This window comes from Homo sapiens, chromosome 19 (genome assembly GCF_000001405.40).
Source record: "Homo sapiens chromosome 19, GRCh38.p14 Primary Assembly".
NCBI lineage: Eukaryota > Metazoa > Chordata > Mammalia > Primates > Hominidae > Homo > Homo sapiens.
Window position 1 is genome coordinate 52,944,087 of NC_000019.10, and position 18,809 is coordinate 52,962,895.

Below are 18,809 nucleotides of genomic sequence, written 5' to 3' on the forward strand. Positions count from 1 at the left end.
CCATACCTTTAAATTGTTTAAATTGGAATTATTTGATATTTCAAACGTTTAATTTCCTACTGAGTTACAGGTACCGTCTCTCTTGTTGTTTGCCTTTCAAAGAGAGACCCCAGGTCCTTCAGAAATACATCCATGGGTTATTAAGCTGAAAAAAAGTTTAGGTTGTTTCTAAAAAATACCACTTCAAGCCGGGAGCGGTGGCTCATGCCTGTAATCCCAGTGTCAAACCACCGAGGCAGGCAGAACGCCTGAGATCAGGAGTTCGAGACCAGCCTGACCAACATGGAGAAACCCCGTCTCTTGTGAAAATACAGGATTAGCCGGGCATGCTGGTGCATGCCTGTAATCCCGGCTACTCTGGTGGCTGAGGCAGGATAATCGTTTGAAACTGGGAGACAGAGATTGCGGTGAGCTGAGATTGCATCATTGCACTCCAGCACTGGCAATAAGAGCAAAACTCTGTCTCAAAAAAAAAAAAAAAAAAACCCTCAGAAGTGAAGGGGGCCTGCCCCTACACACCTGTGGGTATTTCTCGCAAGATGGAGATGAGAGACTGAGAAAAGAAATAAGACACGGAGACAAAGTATAGAGGAAGAAAAGTGGGCCCAGCGGACCAGTGCTCAGCATACGGAGGACCCGCGCCGGCACTGGTCTCTGAGTTCCCTCAGTATTTATTGATCACTATCTCTACCATCTCGGAGAGGGGGATGTGGAAGGACTATACGGTAATGGTGGGGAAGGGTCAGCAGGAAAACATGAGAGCAAAGGACTCTGTCATAAATAAGTTTAAGGAAAGGTGCTGTGCCTGGATGTGCACGTAGGCCAGATTTATATTTGAGTTTACACAAACATGTCAGTGCAGTAAAGAGCAGTATTGCCACCATGATGTCTAGCCTCCAGCCATAAGATGGTTTTCTCCTATCTCAGTAAATATAATGTACGATCGGGTTTTACTCTGAGACATTCCATTCCCAGGGACGAGCAGGAGACAGACGCTTTCCTTTTATTTCAACTGCAAAGAGGCCTTTATCTCTCACTAATCCTCCTCAGCACACACGGTTTACAGGTGTCGGGCTAGGGGATATAAGGTCTTTCCTTTCCCACAAGGCCATATCTCAGGCTGTCTCAGTGGGGGGAAACCTGGACAATACCCAGGCTTTCTCAGGCAAAGGTCCCTGCGGCCTTCCACAGTGCATTGTGTCCCTGGGTAACCGAGAATGGAGAATGGCGATGACTTTTACCAAGCATACTGCCAGCAAACACATTTTTAACAAAGCACATCCTGCCCAGCCCTAAATCCATTAAACCTTGAGTCAACACAGCACATGTTTCTGGAGCACAGGGTTGGGGCTAGGGTTACAGATTAACAGCATCTCAAAGCAGAAGAATTTTTCGTAGTACAGATCAAAATGGTGTTTCTTATGTCTTCCTTTTTCTACATAGACATAGTAAGTCTGATCTCTCTTTTCCCCACACAGAAGACAGAGAAAATGCATTTACAAATTTTCTAAATAAATGTCCCAAGAAAAGAGGCAAAAAAAAATCTTTTTTTTTTCAAAGGAGGAATTATACCTCTATTTCCTTGTTTGTTTGAGACAGGGTCTAGCTCTGTCACCCAGGCTGGAGCGTGGTGGAGAGATTAGAACTCACTGCAGCCGTGAAATCCCTGGCTCAAGTGATCCTTTCACCTCAGCGCCCCGAGCAGCTGGGACCACAGGCGCACACCACCACACCTGACTCGTTTTTTGATTTTTAGTACAGACAATGTCTCACTACGTTGCCCCGGCTGATCTCGAACTCCTGGGCTCAAGCAATCTTCCTGCCTCAGCCTCTCAAAGTGCTGGGATTACAGGTGTGAGCCACCGCTCCGGGCCCTGACTTTATTTCCATGAAATATGAAACCCCTATCCTCCACCTCCTGTGTGTAATAGGCAGTTTTGCTTGTCACTTTTCAGTTTCCATTATCCACTCAAACAACCCAGGACCTTGCTTAGTTTAATAAGCCGTTCTGTCAGTTCCCGCTGCAACCAGCGCCCCACTCCACCCCTTTACCGAGGTCCCTGCCCCTCTCCCCCGCCCTGCCCCAGACTGAGGGGAGCTCGCCCCGCCTGCAGGACGCACGACTCTACCTGCTCCAAAAAGGCGCTTTGCATTAAAACCATTTTCAATTTAAGAAGAGAAACTATTCAGCGTTCAGCACACGTGGTCTACTACAATAAGTTGTTTTACCTTCGATTGTTTGAAATGTTAACTTAAAACGGGCAGGAAGCATCCATGTGATATTAGGGGTAACATCACGGCACAAGAGAATGAATCCACCAATCAGAACTCGGAGGATCCAGTCCTAGAGGGAGAGGATGACAGCAGGAGACATCCACGGCCCAGCTGAGAAAGCCCGAACCCGCCCCCTCCAGGCCTGGCCCTTTAGAACAACCCACCTTCCAGAGCCCGCCCCCTAGACGGCGTCAACCCTCTGGCCTGGCTCCTGCCCGCAGTCCGGCCCGGCCCCCAGGCAGCCTTCTCCCTTTTGCCCCGCCCCAGGCCCCGCCCCCACAGCGGCCTCCACTCTCTCGCCCCGACCCAGCACCTGTTCAGGCCCCGCCCGCTCAGCAACCTTTTCTCTCCTGCCCTGTCCCCGCTTAGTGTCCAGAACCCTCCCAGACAGGGTCCAGGACCAGCCCATGGTTGTTCTGCACGGAGAGCCCGGGGCTGACGCAGGTGAGTGATTTTTTGTCTTTCTGCTTCAAACCTGCCTTTCTCAGCACCCCAGCCCCCAGTCCAGCCATACCAGGAATTTGGGTGCGTCGGGATGTTGAAATCCCCACGCGAGTTTGTGCAGTTGTCAGGGAGTCCCAGCTTCGCCATGGGAAGCTCGCAGACCCGGTGGCTCTGCAGCGTTTGTATCGTTTTAGCCCATGTCCTCCCCCTTTCAGGTGGCAAAATCTCGGCTCACCACAATCTCTGACTACTAGGTTCAAGCGATTCTCCTGCCTCAGGCTCCTGAGTAACTGGAATTACAGGCGCCCGCCACTACACCCAGCTAATTTTGTATTTTTAGTAGAGACTAAAAATGTTGGTTACACCATGTTGGTTATGCTGGTCTGGAAAACCCAATCTCAGGTGATCTGCCCACCTCGGCCTCCCAACATGCTGGGATTACAGGCGTGAGCCACTGCGCCCAGCCTCTAGGTAGCTTTTTTTAGTCTTTGTAGCTATGTTGTTTAGGAATAAAATGGGAGGCAGGTTTTTCTGTCCCAATTCCCAGCTTGACCTTTCTCTTTGGCTTGGTAATTTTTATTATCCTTTCACAAGCTCAGACAGACATAATGCTTTGACACAATGATATTGCTTTATATAGATTTTCCACATCAATAAAGTCCAAGGGTCTGTCATGAACTGGGTTAGAAGAGACGAGAAGATTCCCAGGAGACTCAGTCTCAAGCAATCCTCCCACCTCAGCCTCCCAAGGTGCGTGGACCACAGGTGTGATCCACTGAACACAGTGGAGTCTCCAGCTCAAAAAAACAAAACAAAGGTTAAGGTACTCTATCGAATTACGTCATTTGACTTATTTTATTTTTATTTTTTATTTATTTATTTTTTTTCTGAGATGGAGTCTTGCTCTGTCAACCCAGGCTGGAGTGCAGTGGCGCGATCTCAGCTCACTGCAACTTCCGCCTGCCGGGTTCATGCCATTCTCCTGCCTCAGCCTCCCGAGTAGCTGGGACTACAGGCGCCCGCCACCACGCCCGGCTAATTTTTTGTATTTTTAGTAGAGACGGGGTTTCACCATGTTAGCCAGGATGGTCTCGATCTCCTGACCTTGTGATCCACCTGCCTTGGACTCCCAAAGTGCTAGGATTACAGGCGTGAGCCACCACGCCCAATTGACGTTTTTTTTTTTTAAATAAAATGTTTCACATATTTATTACCGAACCTAGCCAACCAATGTGTTCGTAACAGAGTCAGAGATAAAAAATATATTCCCAATAAAACATGTCCAACTCTCCAGATAGGGGTGACATTTTCAGCTTGATATGGTTGCGTGATTGTGACCTTATTATCAGTTTTCATGCGAATCCACTGGGGAATGGAACAATTCTGCTTTTGTTTCTTGGCCAGGACTCTCTTAATCCTGAAAGTCTTGTGAGAAGACATGGCAAGAAGCCAAGTCAAGCACACACTACGATGACGGAGAGAGGAGAAGGGTCTTGATTTTTTCTTTTTTTTAGACTAAGTTTCTTTCTTTTTGCCCAGGCTGCAGTGCAATGGTGCGATCTTGGCTCGCTGCAACCTCCGCCTCCCGGGTTCAAGTGATTCTCTTGCCTCAGCCTGGCGAGTAGCTAGGTTTGGCCAAAATATGAACTAGAAAGGCAGGAACCTGGCCAAAGGTGGGGAGCTTGAATGTTATTACCTTATTCCTGCTTGACCTTTACTGCCAACGCCAACACAAATGGTCAGAGGTCCCTTATATGAAAATCTTCATGATCTTGTGGGAAAACCCTGATTTTTGTAAAGGCTGCAAAACAGGCTCAAAAATAAATAAATAAATAAAATTACATTTAAAAGAGCCAGTTGCAGTGGCTCACGCCTGTAATCCCACCACTTTGGGAGGCCGAGGTGGGTGGATCAGCTGAGGTTAGGATTTCAAGACCAGACTGACCAACATGGAGAAACACCCTCTCTACTAAAAATACAAAAATTAGCCAGGCTTGGTGGCGGGCACCTGTAATCCCAGCTACTTAGGAGGCTGAGGCAGAAGAATTGCTTGAGCCCAGGAGGCAAAGGTTGCAATGAGCCCAGACCATACCACTGCACTCCAGCCTGGGTGACAAGAGCAAGACTCCATCTCAAAACAAAAAAATAAAATAAAATAAAAAATAAATAAAAATACAAAAATTAGCATGGTGTGGTGGCATGCATCACTAATCCCAGCTACTCAGGAGGCTGAGGCAGGAGAATTGCTTGAATGCAGGAGGTGAAGGTTCCAGTGAGCTGAGATCATGTCATTGCACTATAGCCTGAGTGACAAGAGCAAGACTCCATCTCAAAAAATAAAAATAAAAAACAGGCTGGGTAAAGTGGCTCAAGTCTGTTGGCCAGGCTGGTCTCAAACTGCTGACCTCAAGTGATCTACCTGCCTTGGCCTCCCAAAGTACTGGGAAAACAGGCATGAGCCACTGCACCTGACCCATTCTTCTTAACATTAACACTTTTTATGTCAATTAATGCGTGAACTCAATGTTAAGTCAACTCAAACTCAAGTCAATGTTGAATCAACTCTAATGTCAATTAAAGTTTTATGATTTTTTATATTCATTTTATTTGGAACAATTATCTCAAAAATGAATTTTCTGATGTTCTGCATGGAATGACCACAGAGTGAAGACCTTGCCACCCTTACATTTGTAAGGCATCTGTCCAGTATGAATTCTCTGATGTCTAATGAGGTGTGAACATGAAGTAAAGGCTTTGCCACAATCATCACACTTGTGAGGTTTCTCTCCTGTATGAATTCTATGTTTTGCATAGGATGAAGCTTGACTGAAGACCTTGTCACAGTCATGATATTTGTAAGGTTTCTCTCCAGTATGAGTTCACTGATGAACTACAAGTTATGAATGACGTCTGAAAAATTTGCCACATTTATTACACTTGTAGATCTCTCTTCAATATGGATTCTGTAATGATTTGCAATGGTTGTAGCATTACTGAAGACTTTGTGACAATCATTACATTTGTAAAGTTTCCCTACACCCATGGATTGCTTGATGGTGAATAAGTGTTGACTGTCCAGTAAAGGCTTTGCCACACTCATTACACTTGTAAGGTTTCTCTGCAGTATGAACTCTCTGATGTTTTGCAAGGCTTGCTTTTTGATTAAAAACCTTGCCACATTCATTACACTTGTAAGGTTTCTCTCCAGTATGAACTCTCTGATGTTGTGCAAGGATTCCTTTTTGATTAAAAACCTTCGCACATTTATTACACTTGTAAGGTTTCTCTCCAGTATGAACTCTCGTATGGTTTGCAAGGCATGAATCACTCCGGAAAGCCTTGTCACAAACCTTACATTTGTATGGTTTTTCCCCAGTATGAATTCTCCTATGTCTTTCAAGGTGTGATCTGCGACTGAAAACTTTGTCACATTCTTCACATTTGTAAGGTTTCTCTCCAGCATGAAGTCTATGATGACGTGCAAGGTTTTCTCTTCGACTAAAAACCTTGCCACATTCATTACATGTGTAAGGTTTCTCTCCAGTGTGAAGTGTATGATGGTATTGAAGGGATGACTTCCGACTGAAACTCCTGCCACATTTATTACACTTGTATGGTTTCTCTCCAGTATGAACTCTCTGATGTTCTGCAAGGTATGAATCACTCCGGAAAACCTTGTCACAAACCTTACATTTGTATGATCCCTCTCCAGTATGAATCTTCCTATGTCTTTCAAGGTGTGATCTGCGAATGTAAACATTGTCACATTCTTCACATTTGTAAGGTTTCTCTCCAGTGTGAAGTATATGATGGCATTGAAGGGATGATTTCTGACTGAAGGTCTTGCCACACTCATTACACTTGTAAGGTTTCTCTCCAGTATGAATTGCCTTATGAATTACAAGGGCTGAATTTCGACCAAAAGTCTTGCCACACTCATTACACTTGTAAGGTTTCTCTCCAGTATGAAGTCTACGATGGCATCTAAGGGATGACTTCTCACTGAAGGTCTTGCCACACTCATTACACTTGTAAGGTTTCTCTCCAGTATGAAGTCTACGATGGCATACAAGGGATGACATCTGAGTGAAGGTCTTCCCACACTCATTACACTTGTAAGTTTTCTCACCAGTGTGACATCTATGATGATATACAATGTATTGCTTCTGATTAAAGATCTTGCCACATACATCACATTTATATTCTCTCTCTCTTGAATGGGTTATGTGGTGTCTCCTTAAGAGTGAGCTATAATTAAAGGCTTTGCCACACTCATTACTTTGGCAAGGTTTTTCTCTCATGCATATTTCCTGTATTTGTGTGAATGAAGAATGGAGGAAATTCTTCCCATACTTATTAGAAATATGAGTTTTGAGCCTACAAGAAATTCTTTGGGATTCTGAAGCTGAGGAAGCACCGATAGACTTGTCCAATTGGTTACTAATTTTCCCTTTAGTCTGAAACATGTGGAGTTCAGGCAGATGCGAATGAAAGCTTAATCCAAGCTGATCTTTAATAGGCTTGTTTCCAGCATGCCTGTGATCACTTCGGTCTGTACTACCAGTCAACTTTTTGATTTTTGTCATGGGTGCTTCATGGCCATTTCTTTCAACTTCTTGCCACTGAAACTCAAAGTGATGAATATCTTTCTTCATTTCTGGGAAGCAAAAATCTCCAATGTGATGACTTTTATGTCTTTGCAACGTCCCTGTGTGGATCACTTCTCCTGTAATACTGTGCCTGGTTGATGAGAACTCCATCATGGATTTTAAAGAGCTATCTAAAAAATATAAAGACCAATAGGTTTCCAATTAAGTACAGATGGTAAATAATAGTTGATATTCAGATGTGTAAAAATTACACAAAAAGCAATACTTATTTTAAACTTCCCAAATGTGATCTTCATAGTTTAAGAACACACTGTCTCTACTGAACATACAAAAATTAGCCAGTCATGGTGGTGGGTGCCTGTAATCCCAGCTACTCAGGAGGCTGAGGCAGCAGAATTGCTTGAAGCCAGGAGGCAGAGGTTGCAGCATGCGGAGATCACCACATTGCACTCCAGCCTGGGCAACAAGAGCAAAATTCTGTGTAGAAAAAAAAAAGAGTTCAGTCAAGAGCCTCATATATATGAGGCAGTGAGCCTGAATGATGTCCTCCCTAAGAGGAATTTCTACAGCAGTGACTACTGCTTAGAGAAGATGACCATTCGTTTATGTGATGAACACTGTCACAGTGCTAGTGAGAGATGCTTCTGTGATGGTTCTCAAAAACCAGAATGAAAGGCCAAGCATGGTGGCTCACGCCTGTAATCCCAACACTTCGAGGCTGAGGTGGGCAAATTGCTTGAGGCCAGGAGTTCAAGACCAACTTGGCCAACATGGTGATACCCTATGTCTAATAAAAATATGAAAATCTGCCAGGTATGGAGGCATGTGCCTGTAATTCCAGTTAGGTTGAGAGGCTGAAGTACAAGAATTGCTTGAACTCAGGATGCAGAGGTTGCAATAAGATGAGATCAAGACTCTGCACTCCAGTCTGTTCAACAGAGGGAGACTCTGTCTGAAAACAAACAAACAAAAAGAAAACAAAACCACAAGCACAGCTGGAAACACTTGTCAATCAGTGTCATGCTTTCTATCTCGTATCCTGGGCCATGCTGACCATTCTGCTCAGGGCTTCCAGGGACATCTCTTCCTAGAGCAGGATGATGTTCAATTGTATTAGTCAAAGTGTTCGTGAATTTTCTGTTTTTATGTAAAACCACTCCAAAGAAGAGTCTCTAAGAAGCTGTCCATGACAGATAGGAGGGTCATCACCGCAGAAAACAATGACATGTACATCAAAAGCATGTATGGGGCAAAATCACAAAAGAGAATATAAAACCAGAAAGAGCCAAGATAGACAAGTGCAGATTCCTCATGTCTGGAGGGACATTTTCCTCACCCACAAACTCCAGGTTCCTGTAGTTCTCCAACATCACAGCCCTGTATAAAGCCCTCTGTGCAGGGTTCAGGCATTTCCACTCCTCCAAAGAGAACTCTATAGCCACATCCCTGAAAGTCAAGCGTCCCTAAAATAAAAAACACGTTTCAACAAAACATTATGGAGGAGTGAGTTATTGCCCTCACGTGAAATGAGAAAACAGAAAATAAGTATTGATTTGATCCAAGACTGTGTTCTGACAAATTTATGTTAAGGTATTTTTGAACAATTTTTCAGTATAGTTGCATTTTATTGTACTTTTTCATGATAGCTTTTAAAATCCCCTAAGTCACTGTGGAAGTCTCAGTTTTATGGACAATATAAGGCCAGGAATGGTGGCTCATGCCTAAAATCCCAGCACTTTGTGAGACCAAGGCAGGTGGATCTCCTGAGCTCAGGAGTTCGAGCCCAGGACAATATGGTGTAACCCCGTCTCTACTAAAAATACAAAAAAAAAACCAGGTGTGGTGGCACACGCCTCTAGTCCCAGCTACCTGGGAGGCTGATGCACGAGAATAACTTGAGAACAAGAGACGAATGTTGCAGTGAGCCAAGATCGTGCCATTGCACTCCAGCTTGGGCTGCAGAGTAGGACTCCATCTCAAAAAAAAAAAGAAAAAAAATATATATATACACACATACACATATGTTTTATATATATAATATATACTTATATATATTATATATAAATATATAATATATATTTTAATATTTAATTATATATAATATATATTTATAATATATAATATATAATACAATATTATATATAATATGTATTTATAAAATATAATATATAATACAATATTATATATAATATGTATTTATAAAATATATATGATACAATATTATATATAATATATATTACAATATTGTATCATATATTATATATAATATTGTATAATAAATATATTATTAAATAAAGATATTAAATATATATAATATATATTTTATATATATATATAAAATAAGTCCAGACATGGTGGCTCACACCTGTAATCCCATCACTTTGGGAGACCAAGGTGGGTGGATCACTTAAGGTCAGGAGTTAGAGACCAACCTCTCCAACATGGCAAAACTCCGTATCTACTAAAAATAAAAAAATTGGCTGAGCATGGTAGGGAGGTGCCTGTAATCCCAACTATTCAGGAAGCTGAAACAGGAAAATCGCCTGAACTCTGGAAGCAGGGGTTGCAGTAAGCCAAGGTCACACCATTGCAATCCTGCCTGAGCAACAGACTGAGACTCTTTCTCAAAAAAAAAAAAAAAAAGGTATATATATATTGCAAATAATGTATTTTCTACATAAACCGTGGGATTGGCTGCACACAGTAGGTACACCTGTAATCCCAGCACTTTGGGAGGCTCAGGCAGGTGGATAACCTAAAGTCAGGAGTTTGACACCAGCCTGAAGAACATGGACAAATTCTGTCTCTACTAAAAATACAAAGTTAGCTGGGAATGGTGGCGCATGCCTATATTCCCAGCTACTGAACCTGGGAGGTGGAAGTTGCAGTGAGCCGATATCGTGCCACTGCACTCCAGCCTGGGCCACAAGAATGAAACTCCGTCTCAAAAAAAACAAACAAACAACAACAACAAAAAAGAAATGAAACAAAACTGTCAAGGACTCATGAGTCTTCATTCAGAGAAAGCTCCAAGGAGGATTTAAAAGAGTGAGCTATCTTGTTTTCTACCTTGGAAACATGAAAATTTTCAGAACTTGCAGGATAAAATATCATAACAAACATTCATCAGACCGGGAGCAGGGCTCACACCTGAAATCCCAGCACTTAGGGAGGCCGACGTGGAAGGATCACTTGAGGCCAAAAGTTCGAGACCAGCCTGGCCAACATGGTGAAACCCCATCTGTACTAATAACACAACAATTAGCCAGGAGTGTAGCACGCATCTGTAAATGCAGCTACTCAGTTGGCTGAAGCGTAAGACTCATTTGAACCTGAGAGCCAGAGGTTGCAATGTGCCACTACACTCCAGGCGGGGAGGCCCTGTCTCAAAAAACATGCAAAAAAAAAAAAAAAAAACCCCATTCATCAAATAATTTTTTCTAAAATCTCATAACGGTATATGAATACATTTCTAAAGGATTGCGCCGACTTGCCACAGAACTCTCAACAGCGATTCCCCACTGAGACATGGGAATGGGTGGAAGGCTGGACAGGAAAGGGGATGCATAAGTGCACTTTTCTTTGGACTTTTACTACACAACACATATATACATCATGTGATGTTTAAAATAAAAGAATTACTTAATAATAATGGGTAGAAAAAGAATGGCTCCATCCTCTCTAACGACGTAAGTTGTGCTCTTATGTCAGAGCAAACTTATAATCATTTTTACCTAAAATGTTTGCTTCATCAGAGTCCCTGTAAAAAAAACAAAACAAAACAAAAAACAAAAAAAAAGTCTCTGTGGGGTCAAAGTGCTGAGAATGATTTAAAGAATCCCCTGCAGTTAGATATTTATATTGATTTCATAATTTGAAGTCAATGATGGAATAAAGCTAACTCTATTACTGGTATCTATATCCGCTTTCCATTCTATTCTAAGACATTGAAAGTGCAGAGTCCTGCTGGGCTGTCTCACACCTGTAATCCCAGCAATTTGGGAAGCTCAGGTGGGAGGGCCACTTAAGCCCAGGAGTTCGAGGCTGCTGTAAACTAGAATTGTGCCATTGCACTCCAGACTGGGCCCCAGAGTGACACCGTGTCTCTTAAAACAAAAGTTTGGCGTCAGAGACATATTGACTCACTAGTGTAGCTTCAAATGCATTACAAAATCAGACACAAAATATCTCCCCTAGTTTGTCTCCTCTTCCAGAATTTACCAGATTAACCAGTGAACATTAATGTATGACTTTCATATACAGTTTCTCTGATCTGGTCCACAAAGAGCTAAACATGCATCCAGATGTGGCCCCTGAACAATCCCTGCTGCCCAACATCACTGACACCATGGGGCCCACACCCCATCTCCATCCATGTCTGGTGTGAGCCCTTCCCAGGACCATGCCCAGTGGAGCCTCTTCCCAAGCTCATGTCACTAGGTTATAGGAGATGGAATTTAAGTGAAGATGAGAGGGACTGAGAAAAGACACGGGTGAGTGCGAGCAAACGTGTGATGTAGAATGCTTCACACTCAGAGAAGATTGGCTACTACAATACCTGGCACTTCAGAAAGGAAAGAGACAGAAGAATCCACCAAGGAATATCACTTACCTGAGGAAGAGCCATCCCTGGCTCCTTTTCTTTGCTCTTCTTGGTGGCTTCCTCACGTAACATGAGTCTTTGGAAATCCTGTATGTTAAAAAAGCAAGAGATTTAATATTTAGAAACCATTGACTCCTTTCCTGTGACAAAACACACACACAGGGGAAACCTCACCCGAGAGAAAGATGGTCCTTTGCTACCCACTGCACCAGAGACCATGCAGAGATAAGAAAGTTCCACAGGAAGACCTACAAATGTAATTTTGACCCGTTTTCAGATCTTGCTCCCCTCCTGGAAAAGTCCACACACACGCTGCAGCAGGACACAGATCTTCAGGGCACAGATCTAGCCCTAACCAAACTCCATGCAGAGCACAGCCCCCTCACCTCCCTGTGGATCACAGACTGATCTCAGCTCTCAACATGGAGGAAACTTCCTTGATGTTTAATGCTGGACACAGATAAGAATCACCAGTGCCATTGTAAGTATTATTGAGTGTGGGTCCCATCCTATTATAATAGCAATCTGATAAAACAGCATGCCTGTAATCCCAGCATTTTGGGAGGCCGATGCAGCTGGATCCCTTCAGCTCTGGGGTTGGACACCAGCCTGAGCAACATGGCGAAAGCCCATCTCTACGAAGAACACAAAAATTAGTGTGGTGTGGTGGCACGCAGCTGTGGTCCCAGCTACTCTGGAGGCTGAGGTAGGAAGCAGACCACCACTTCTCCTGCTGCCTTCCTCCCTCCCCCTTGCCTAGTTTATAAGACAGGAGGAAAGGAAGAAAGCAAAAAGTTAGAAAGAAACAGAAGTAAGATAAATAGCCAGACGACCTTGGTGCTACCACCTGGCCCCGGTGGTTAAAAATAATAATAATACCAACCCCTGACCTAAACTACTTATGTTATCTGTAAATTCTAGACATTGTATGAAGAAGCATTGCAAAAGTTTCTGTTCTGTTAGCTGATGCACGTAGTGTCAAGTCACATTCCCCACACTTGCTTGATCTATCATGACCCTTTCACGTGGATGCCTTAGAGCTGTAAGCCCTTAAAAGGGCCAGGAATTTCTTTTTCAGGGAGCTCAGTTCTTGAGACACGAGTCCTCTGATGCGCTGGGCCGAATAAAGCCACTTCCTTCTTTAATCCGTTGTCTGAGAGGTACTGTCTGCGGCTCGTCATGCTACATTTCTTGGTTCCCTGACTTGGAAGCGAGGTAATTAACAGAAGGTCGAGGCAACCCCTTAGGTGACTTAGGCCTGCCCTTTGGAGCATCCCTGCTGGGTACTCCAGCCAGCTTGGGCGACATGGATTCTGAGAGTGCTACCAGGTAGGCATGTGCCCCAGAAAGATACTTAGCCTGGCCATCCGAACTTGCAGTGTAACCAGTGTGCTTACTGTAAAGAAATAGGATATTAGAAGGACAAGTGCCCTCAGCTAAAAGGAAAACAAGGTGGCTCAGAGCAGGAGGCCCCAGAAGGAGCCCTGTTCAATATAGCAGAAGAGTTACTGAACTGAGGAGGACCAGGCTCAACTGCCCCCAAGGAGCCCATGGTCAAGATGACAGTTAGGGGCAAAGACATTGATTTTCGTATTGATACCAGTGCTGAACATTCAGTAGTAACCGCCCCGGTTGCCCCCCTTTCCAAAAAGACTATTGTTATAATCGGAGCCATGGGAGTTTTATCAAAGCAAGCTTTCTGTTGCCCCAGACTTGTACTGTAGGAAGACATAAAGTGATTCACCAGTTCTTGTACATGCCTGACTTGAAAGGACTTGAAAGGACTTGCTTAGCGAGCTGAGAGCCACCGTCTCTTCTACAGAGCACAGCTCTTTACAGCTAAGGTTACCCAGAACGGGAGTCATTATGGCCCTTACAGTCCCCCAGGAAGAGGAATGGAGACTTCTTTTAACTGAGCCAGGCCAAGAGATAAGACCAACTCTGGCTAAGCGGTGGCCAAGGGTGTAGACAGAAGACAACCCTCCAGGGATGGCAGTTAACCAAGCCCTGGTACTTATAGAAGTTAAGCGTAGGGCCCAGCCAGTCAGGCAAAAACAGTACCTGGTCCCCAGAGAAGATCTTGAAAGTATCCAGGTCCATCTCAAGAGCCTGAGAGCCTTTAGAATTACAGTCCCTTGTCAGTCTCCCTGGAACACTCCCCTCCTGCCTGTTCCCACGCCAGGGACCAATGACTACAGGCCGGTACAGGACTTGCACTTAGTCAATCAAGCTACAGTGACTTTACATCCAACAGTACCTAACCCGTACACGTTAAGGTTGCTGCCAGCTGAGGACAGCTGGTTCTCTGGCTTAGACCTGAAAGACACTTTCTTTAGCATTAGACTAGCCCCTCAGAGCCAGAAGCTGTTTGCCTTTCAGTAGGAAGATCTGGGATCAGGTGTCACTGCTCAGTACTCTTGGACCCGGCTTCTGCAAGGGTTCAAGAACTCCCCCACCATCTTCAGGGAAGCACTGGCTCGGGACCTCCAGAAGTTTCCCACCAGAGACCTAGGCTGCGCATTGCTCCAGTACGTTGATGACCTTCTGTTAGGACACCCCATGGCAGTTGAGTGTGCCAAGGGAAAGGATGCCCTACTCTGGCCCTTGGAGGACTATAGGTATAAGTTGTCCAAGAAGAAAGCCCAGATCTGCTGACAGCAGGTACATTACCTAGGATTTACTATCCAACAGGGGGAGCGCAGCCTGGGATCAGAAGGAAAGCAGGCTTTTTGCAACCTACTGAAGCCTAAGACCAGAAAGCAGGTGAAAGAATTCTTAGGTGCTGTGAGGTTCTGCAGACCGTGGATCCCAAACTTTGTAGTACTGGCCAAGCCTCTGTACGGAGTCACAAAGGGGCAGGACCAGGAACCTTTTGAACGGAGATCCCAACAACAGCAAGCCTTTCATGAGTTAAAAGAAAATCTTATGTCAGCCCCAGCCCTGGGGTTACCTGACCTGACAAAGCCTTTTACGCTGTATGTTTCTGAGAGAGAAAATACGGCAGTTAGGGTTTTGATCCAAACTGTGGGGCCCTGGCCGAGGCCAGTGGCCTGCCTCTCTAAGAAACTAAATGGGGATTCTAAAGGTTAGCCCTCATGTTTGAGGGCCTTGGCAGCAACTGCCCTGCTGGCAGAAGAAGCAGATAAACTAACTCTTAGGCAAAACCTGAACATAAAGGCCCCCCATGCTGTGGTGACTTTAATGAATACCAAAAGACATCATTGGCTAATGAATGCTAGACTAAACAAGTACCAAAGCTTGCTCTGTGAAAATCCCCACATAACCATTGAAGTTTGTAACACCCTGAACCCCGCCACCTTACTCTTGGTATCAGACAGCCCTGTTGAGCATAACTGTGTAGAGGTGTTGGACTCAGTTTACTTTAGCAGGCTTGACCTTTGAGACCAGCCTTGGGCATCAGTAGACTGGGAGCTATAAGTGGACAGGAGCAGCTTCAACAGCCCACAAGGAGAGAGATGTGCAGGATATGCGGTAGTAACCCTGGACACTGCCATTGATGCCAGATCGTTGTCCCAGGGCACTTCAGCCCAGAAAGCCGAGCTCATTGCTTTAATTCAGGCCTTAGAACTCAGTGAAGGTAAGACTGAAAATATTTACACTGACTCTCGGTATGCCTTTTTAACCCTTCAAGTGCATAAAGCATTATATAAAGAAAAGGGCCTGTTGAACTCTGGAGAAAAAGACATAAAATATCAGCAAGAAATCTTGCAATTATTAGAAGCAGCATAGAAACCCCACAATGTGGCAGTCATGCACTGCAGAGGACACCAGCGAGCTTCCACCTCGGTTGCCTTAGGGAACTCCAGAGCTGACTCAGAAGCTCGAAAAGCAACATCCACACCCTACTGGGCATCAGTCACAGCCCCCTTGCTCCCTCAAGCACCTGACCTTGTACCTACTTATTCTAAAGAAGAAAAAGACTTTCTCCAGGCAGAGGGAAGACAGGTGATGGAAGAAGGAAGGATCCGGTCACCAAATAGGACAGTACCTGTGCCACAGCTGCTAGGAGCCACAGTTGTACTGGAGGTGCATGAAACCACCCATCTAGGTCAGGAGTCACTTGAACAGTTGTTAGGCTGGTACTTCTACAGCTCACAATTGTCAGCCCTCGCCAAAACCGTGGCACAGCGGTGTGTTACCTGCCGACAGCACAATGCGAGGCAGGGTTCAGCCATTCTGCCCGGCATACAAGCTTATGAAGCAGCCCCCTTTGAAGATCTCCAGGTGGACTTCACAGAAATGCCAAAGTGTAGAAGTAACAAGTATTTACTAGTTCTCGTGTGTACCTACTCTAGGTAGGTGGAGGCTTATCCCACACGAACTGAGAAAGCTCATGTGCTTCTTCGAGATCTTATTCCTAGATTTGGACGGCCCTTACGAATCAGCTCGGATAACGGGCTGGAGTTTGTGGCTGACTTAGTACAGACGACAGCAAAGGTATTAAAGATCACGTGGAAACTGCATGCTGCCTTCTGACCTCAGAGTTCTGGAAAGGTGGAGTGAATGAATCGGATTATCAAAAATAGCTTAAGGCCTTAGGAAAAATTACACAAATGATTTCAGCCCAGGTAAATGAGAGATGCCCCATTAGCTTATTCTCCCCAGTTCACTCTTTCTCCCCGGGTGATTGAGTGTGGATCAAGGACTGGAACGTAGCCCCTGTGTGCCCCCACTGGAAAGTACCCCAGACCGTCATCCTGACCACTCCCACCGCTGTGAAGGTAGAAGGAATCCCGGCCTGGATCCACCACAGCCATATAAAACCTGCAGCGCCTGAAACCTGGGAGGCAAGGCCAAGCCCAGATAACCCCTGCAAAGTGACCCTGAAGAAGACGACAAGCCCTGCTCCAGTCACACCCGGAAGCTGACTGGTCCTACGCACAGTGGAAGCATGAGGAAGCTCATCGTGGGACTCATTCTTCTTAAATTTTAGACTTGTACAGTAAAGGCTTCAACTGACCTTCCTCAAACTAAGGACTGTTCCCAGTGTATTCATCAGGTCACTGAGATAGGACAGCAAATTAAAACAATCTTTCTGTTCTATAGTTATTATGAATGTACAGGCACGTTAAAAGGATCTTATTTGTATAATTCCACTCAATACAAGGTACGTAGCCCAGGAAATGACAAACCTACTATGGGTTATAACCCATCTAAGCCTCCTGCAACCACCGTTTTTCAAATAAGATTAAGAACTGGTCCTTTCCTAGGTGACACAAGTAAAATAATAACTAGAACAGAAGAAAAAAGAATCCCCAAACAAGAAACTTTAAATTTGATGCTTGTGCAGCCATTAATAGTAACAAGCTCAGATTAAGATGTGGCTCTCTTAACTAAGAAAGGAGCTGCACAGTAGAAAATAAATGTTTGTCATGAGGCAGAGGTCTGTGAAAATTTGCCTGTTGCCCATGTGTTATTTAGGCTACTTAGAAAAATGACAAAAAAGACCCGGTTCACTTTCAAAAAAAAGAAGCCAACCCCTCCTGTGCTAGCAGTCACTGTAACCCACTAGAACTAATAATCACTAATTCCCTAGACCCCCGTTAGAGAAAAAGAGAAGGTGTAATCCTGACGGTCAATAGGACAAGGGTAACCCCCCAAGTTGCCATTTTAGTCCGAGGGGAGGTCCCCAGGCCCTTTCCCAAACCAGTGTTTCAAGCCTTTTATAATGAGCTAAATCTGCCAGCACCAGAGCTTCCAAAAAAGACAAGGAACTTGTTTCTCCAGTTAACGGAAAATGTAGCTCATTCCCTCAATGTTGCTTCTTGTTATGTACGCGGAGGAACTACTGTTGGAGACCGATGGCCTCAGGAAGCCCGAGAGTTGGTGCCCACTGATCCAGTTCCTCACACAATTCCAGCTCAGAAGGCCCAAACTAGCAACTTCTAGGTCCTAAAAACCTCAGTTATTAGACAATACTATGTAGCTAAGGAAAGAAAAAACTTCAGCAACCCCGTAAGAAAGCTCAATTGTCTAGGACAGAAGTTGTATACAACAGCACAACAAGGACAGTCACTTGGTGAGGCTTAAACCACACTGAAAAGAACTCATTACGTAAATTTTCTAAATTACAGACTGCCTAGGCTCATCCAGAATTTCATTGAGACTGGACGGCCCCCGCTGGACTATACTAGTCCAGGCACAGAGACTATACTATACTATACTAGTCCAGGCACAGGCTATACTAGTCTGTAGGCACAGAGACCCATCTCCAACAACAAAGAAGAAAAGTGAAAATCTGGGTCCTGGCTCTGGGAATCTAAGGCCAATTAATGTGAACTTTGCAAAACTAGACCAAAAGGAATAACCCCATCTCCCCACCCGTAGTAACAAAGGATCAAAGGGTACTCTCCCTGTAGCCCTCCCACTTCCACCACGTCTCAGATGGAAAGGGAAAGAGCCCAGGAGTGGCCACAAAGCACCGGCCACCCTGGGGCTGCGGGGCTGCAACGCTGCGCTCCAGGGGCCGACTAGAGCGAGGCTGGGAAGCGCTCTTGCCCAGGGCAAGAATCCAGCTCCGGGTGAGGACTTGAAACAGCGCGAGGCGGGAGGACGCGTCAGAAAGGGTTTTGCTAAGGAAAGTTTCGCGACAGGAGGTGTCTGCACGGCCCCACTGCAGAAAGACCGGGGACGGGACCAGCCTCAGGGCAACTTTAAACTCAAAAGGAAGCGACTCACGGACTCTCACCCGGACGTTTCAATTTGCTCTGGGTTGAGAAAAGAGGGGCCGGAACCTGCAGGTCTGTGGGGACCCCACGTCCCCTATATAGCAGCACCAGACAACTAGGAAACGCACACGCCGCCGTGCAACTTTCAGTCCACGCCATCCGCTTCCGGGTCTGTGCCAATCGGCGCAG

The 18,809-nt window shown here is 45.0% G+C and overlaps 2 protein-coding genes and 1 long non-coding RNA gene across 5 annotated transcripts in view, besides 2 other annotated features; 1 reads left to right on the plus strand and 2 right to left on the minus strand.

The window, feature by feature from the left end:
• ZNF816-ZNF321P (ZNF816-ZNF321P readthrough) overlaps positions 1–18,795 on the minus strand; it is a 35,747-nt gene extending 16,952 nt beyond the window's left edge. The window contains exons 1-3 of the mRNA NM_001202473.2: positions 18,631–18,795; positions 11,941–12,018; positions 8,665–8,791 (exon numbers count right to left, since the gene is read on the minus strand). Coding sequence (NP_001189402.1) covers positions 8,665–8,791; positions 11,941–12,003 — 190 coding nt within the window. The 5' untranslated portion in view covers positions 12,004–12,018; positions 18,631–18,795. The remainder of the gene's footprint in view (positions 1–8,664; positions 8,792–11,940; positions 12,019–18,630) is intronic.
• Positions 106–929: an enhancer, noted in NCBI's record as "H3K27ac hESC enhancer chr19:53447445-53448268 (GRCh37/hg19 assembly coordinates)". NCBI's record gives its function as "activates a minimal SCP1, AML or CMV promoter by ChIP-STARR-seq in primed H9 embryonic stem cells {active_cell/tissue: H9 hESC(primed)}" and the evidence as "EXISTENCE:reporter gene assay evidence [ECO:0000049][PMID:30033119]".
• On the plus strand, positions 2,642–3,970 carry LOC124904761 (uncharacterized). The gene is made up of 2 exons (XR_007067329.1): positions 2,642–2,718; positions 3,359–3,970. It is a non-coding gene; the product is annotated as an uncharacterized LOC124904761 (long non-coding RNA).
• On the minus strand, positions 5,299–18,795 carry ZNF816 (zinc finger protein 816). 3 transcript variants are annotated; one of them, NM_001031665.4, is made up of 5 exons: positions 18,641–18,795; positions 15,941–16,091; positions 11,941–12,018; positions 8,665–8,791; positions 5,299–7,498 (listed from the first exon to the last, which is right to left on the minus strand). In NM_001031665.4, the coding sequence occupies exons 3-5, from the start codon at positions 12,001–12,003 to the stop codon at positions 5,733–5,735; spliced, it is 1,956 nt and encodes a 651-aa protein (NP_001026835.1). In that variant the 5' UTR covers positions 12,004–12,018; positions 15,941–16,091; positions 18,641–18,795; the 3' UTR covers positions 5,299–5,732. The 3 variants fall into 3 exon arrangements, with proteins under 3 accessions (NP_001026835.1, NP_001189386.1, NP_001189385.1); NM_001202457.3 differs by lacking the exon at positions 15,941–16,091; NM_001202456.3 differs by lacking the exon at positions 15,941–16,091 and having other exon boundaries at positions 18,631–18,795.
• Positions 18,513–18,762: an enhancer, noted in NCBI's record as "active region_15062". NCBI's record gives its function as "activates an Ori minimal core promoter by ATAC-STARR-seq in GM12878 lymphoblastoid cells {active_cell/tissue: GM12878}" and the evidence as "EXISTENCE:reporter gene assay evidence [ECO:0000049][PMID:35858748]".

What these genes read in the sequence shown, in the direction of transcription:
- ZNF816 (NM_001202457.3), bottom strand. Translation starts at nt 12,003, where the DNA reads ATGTTACGTGAGGAAGCCACCAAGAAGAGCAAAGAAAAGGAGCCAGGG. An exon ending in CAGGGATGGCTCTTCCTCAG is followed by an intron (nt 8,792 to 11,940) that starts GTAAGTGATATT and finishes TTTTTATTTTAG; the next exon opens with GGACGCTTGACTTTCAGGGA. An exon ending in CAGGAACCTGGAGTTTGTGG is followed by an intron (nt 7,499 to 8,664) that starts GTGAGGAAAATG and finishes TATATTTTTTAG; the next exon opens with ATAGCTCTTTAAAATCCATG.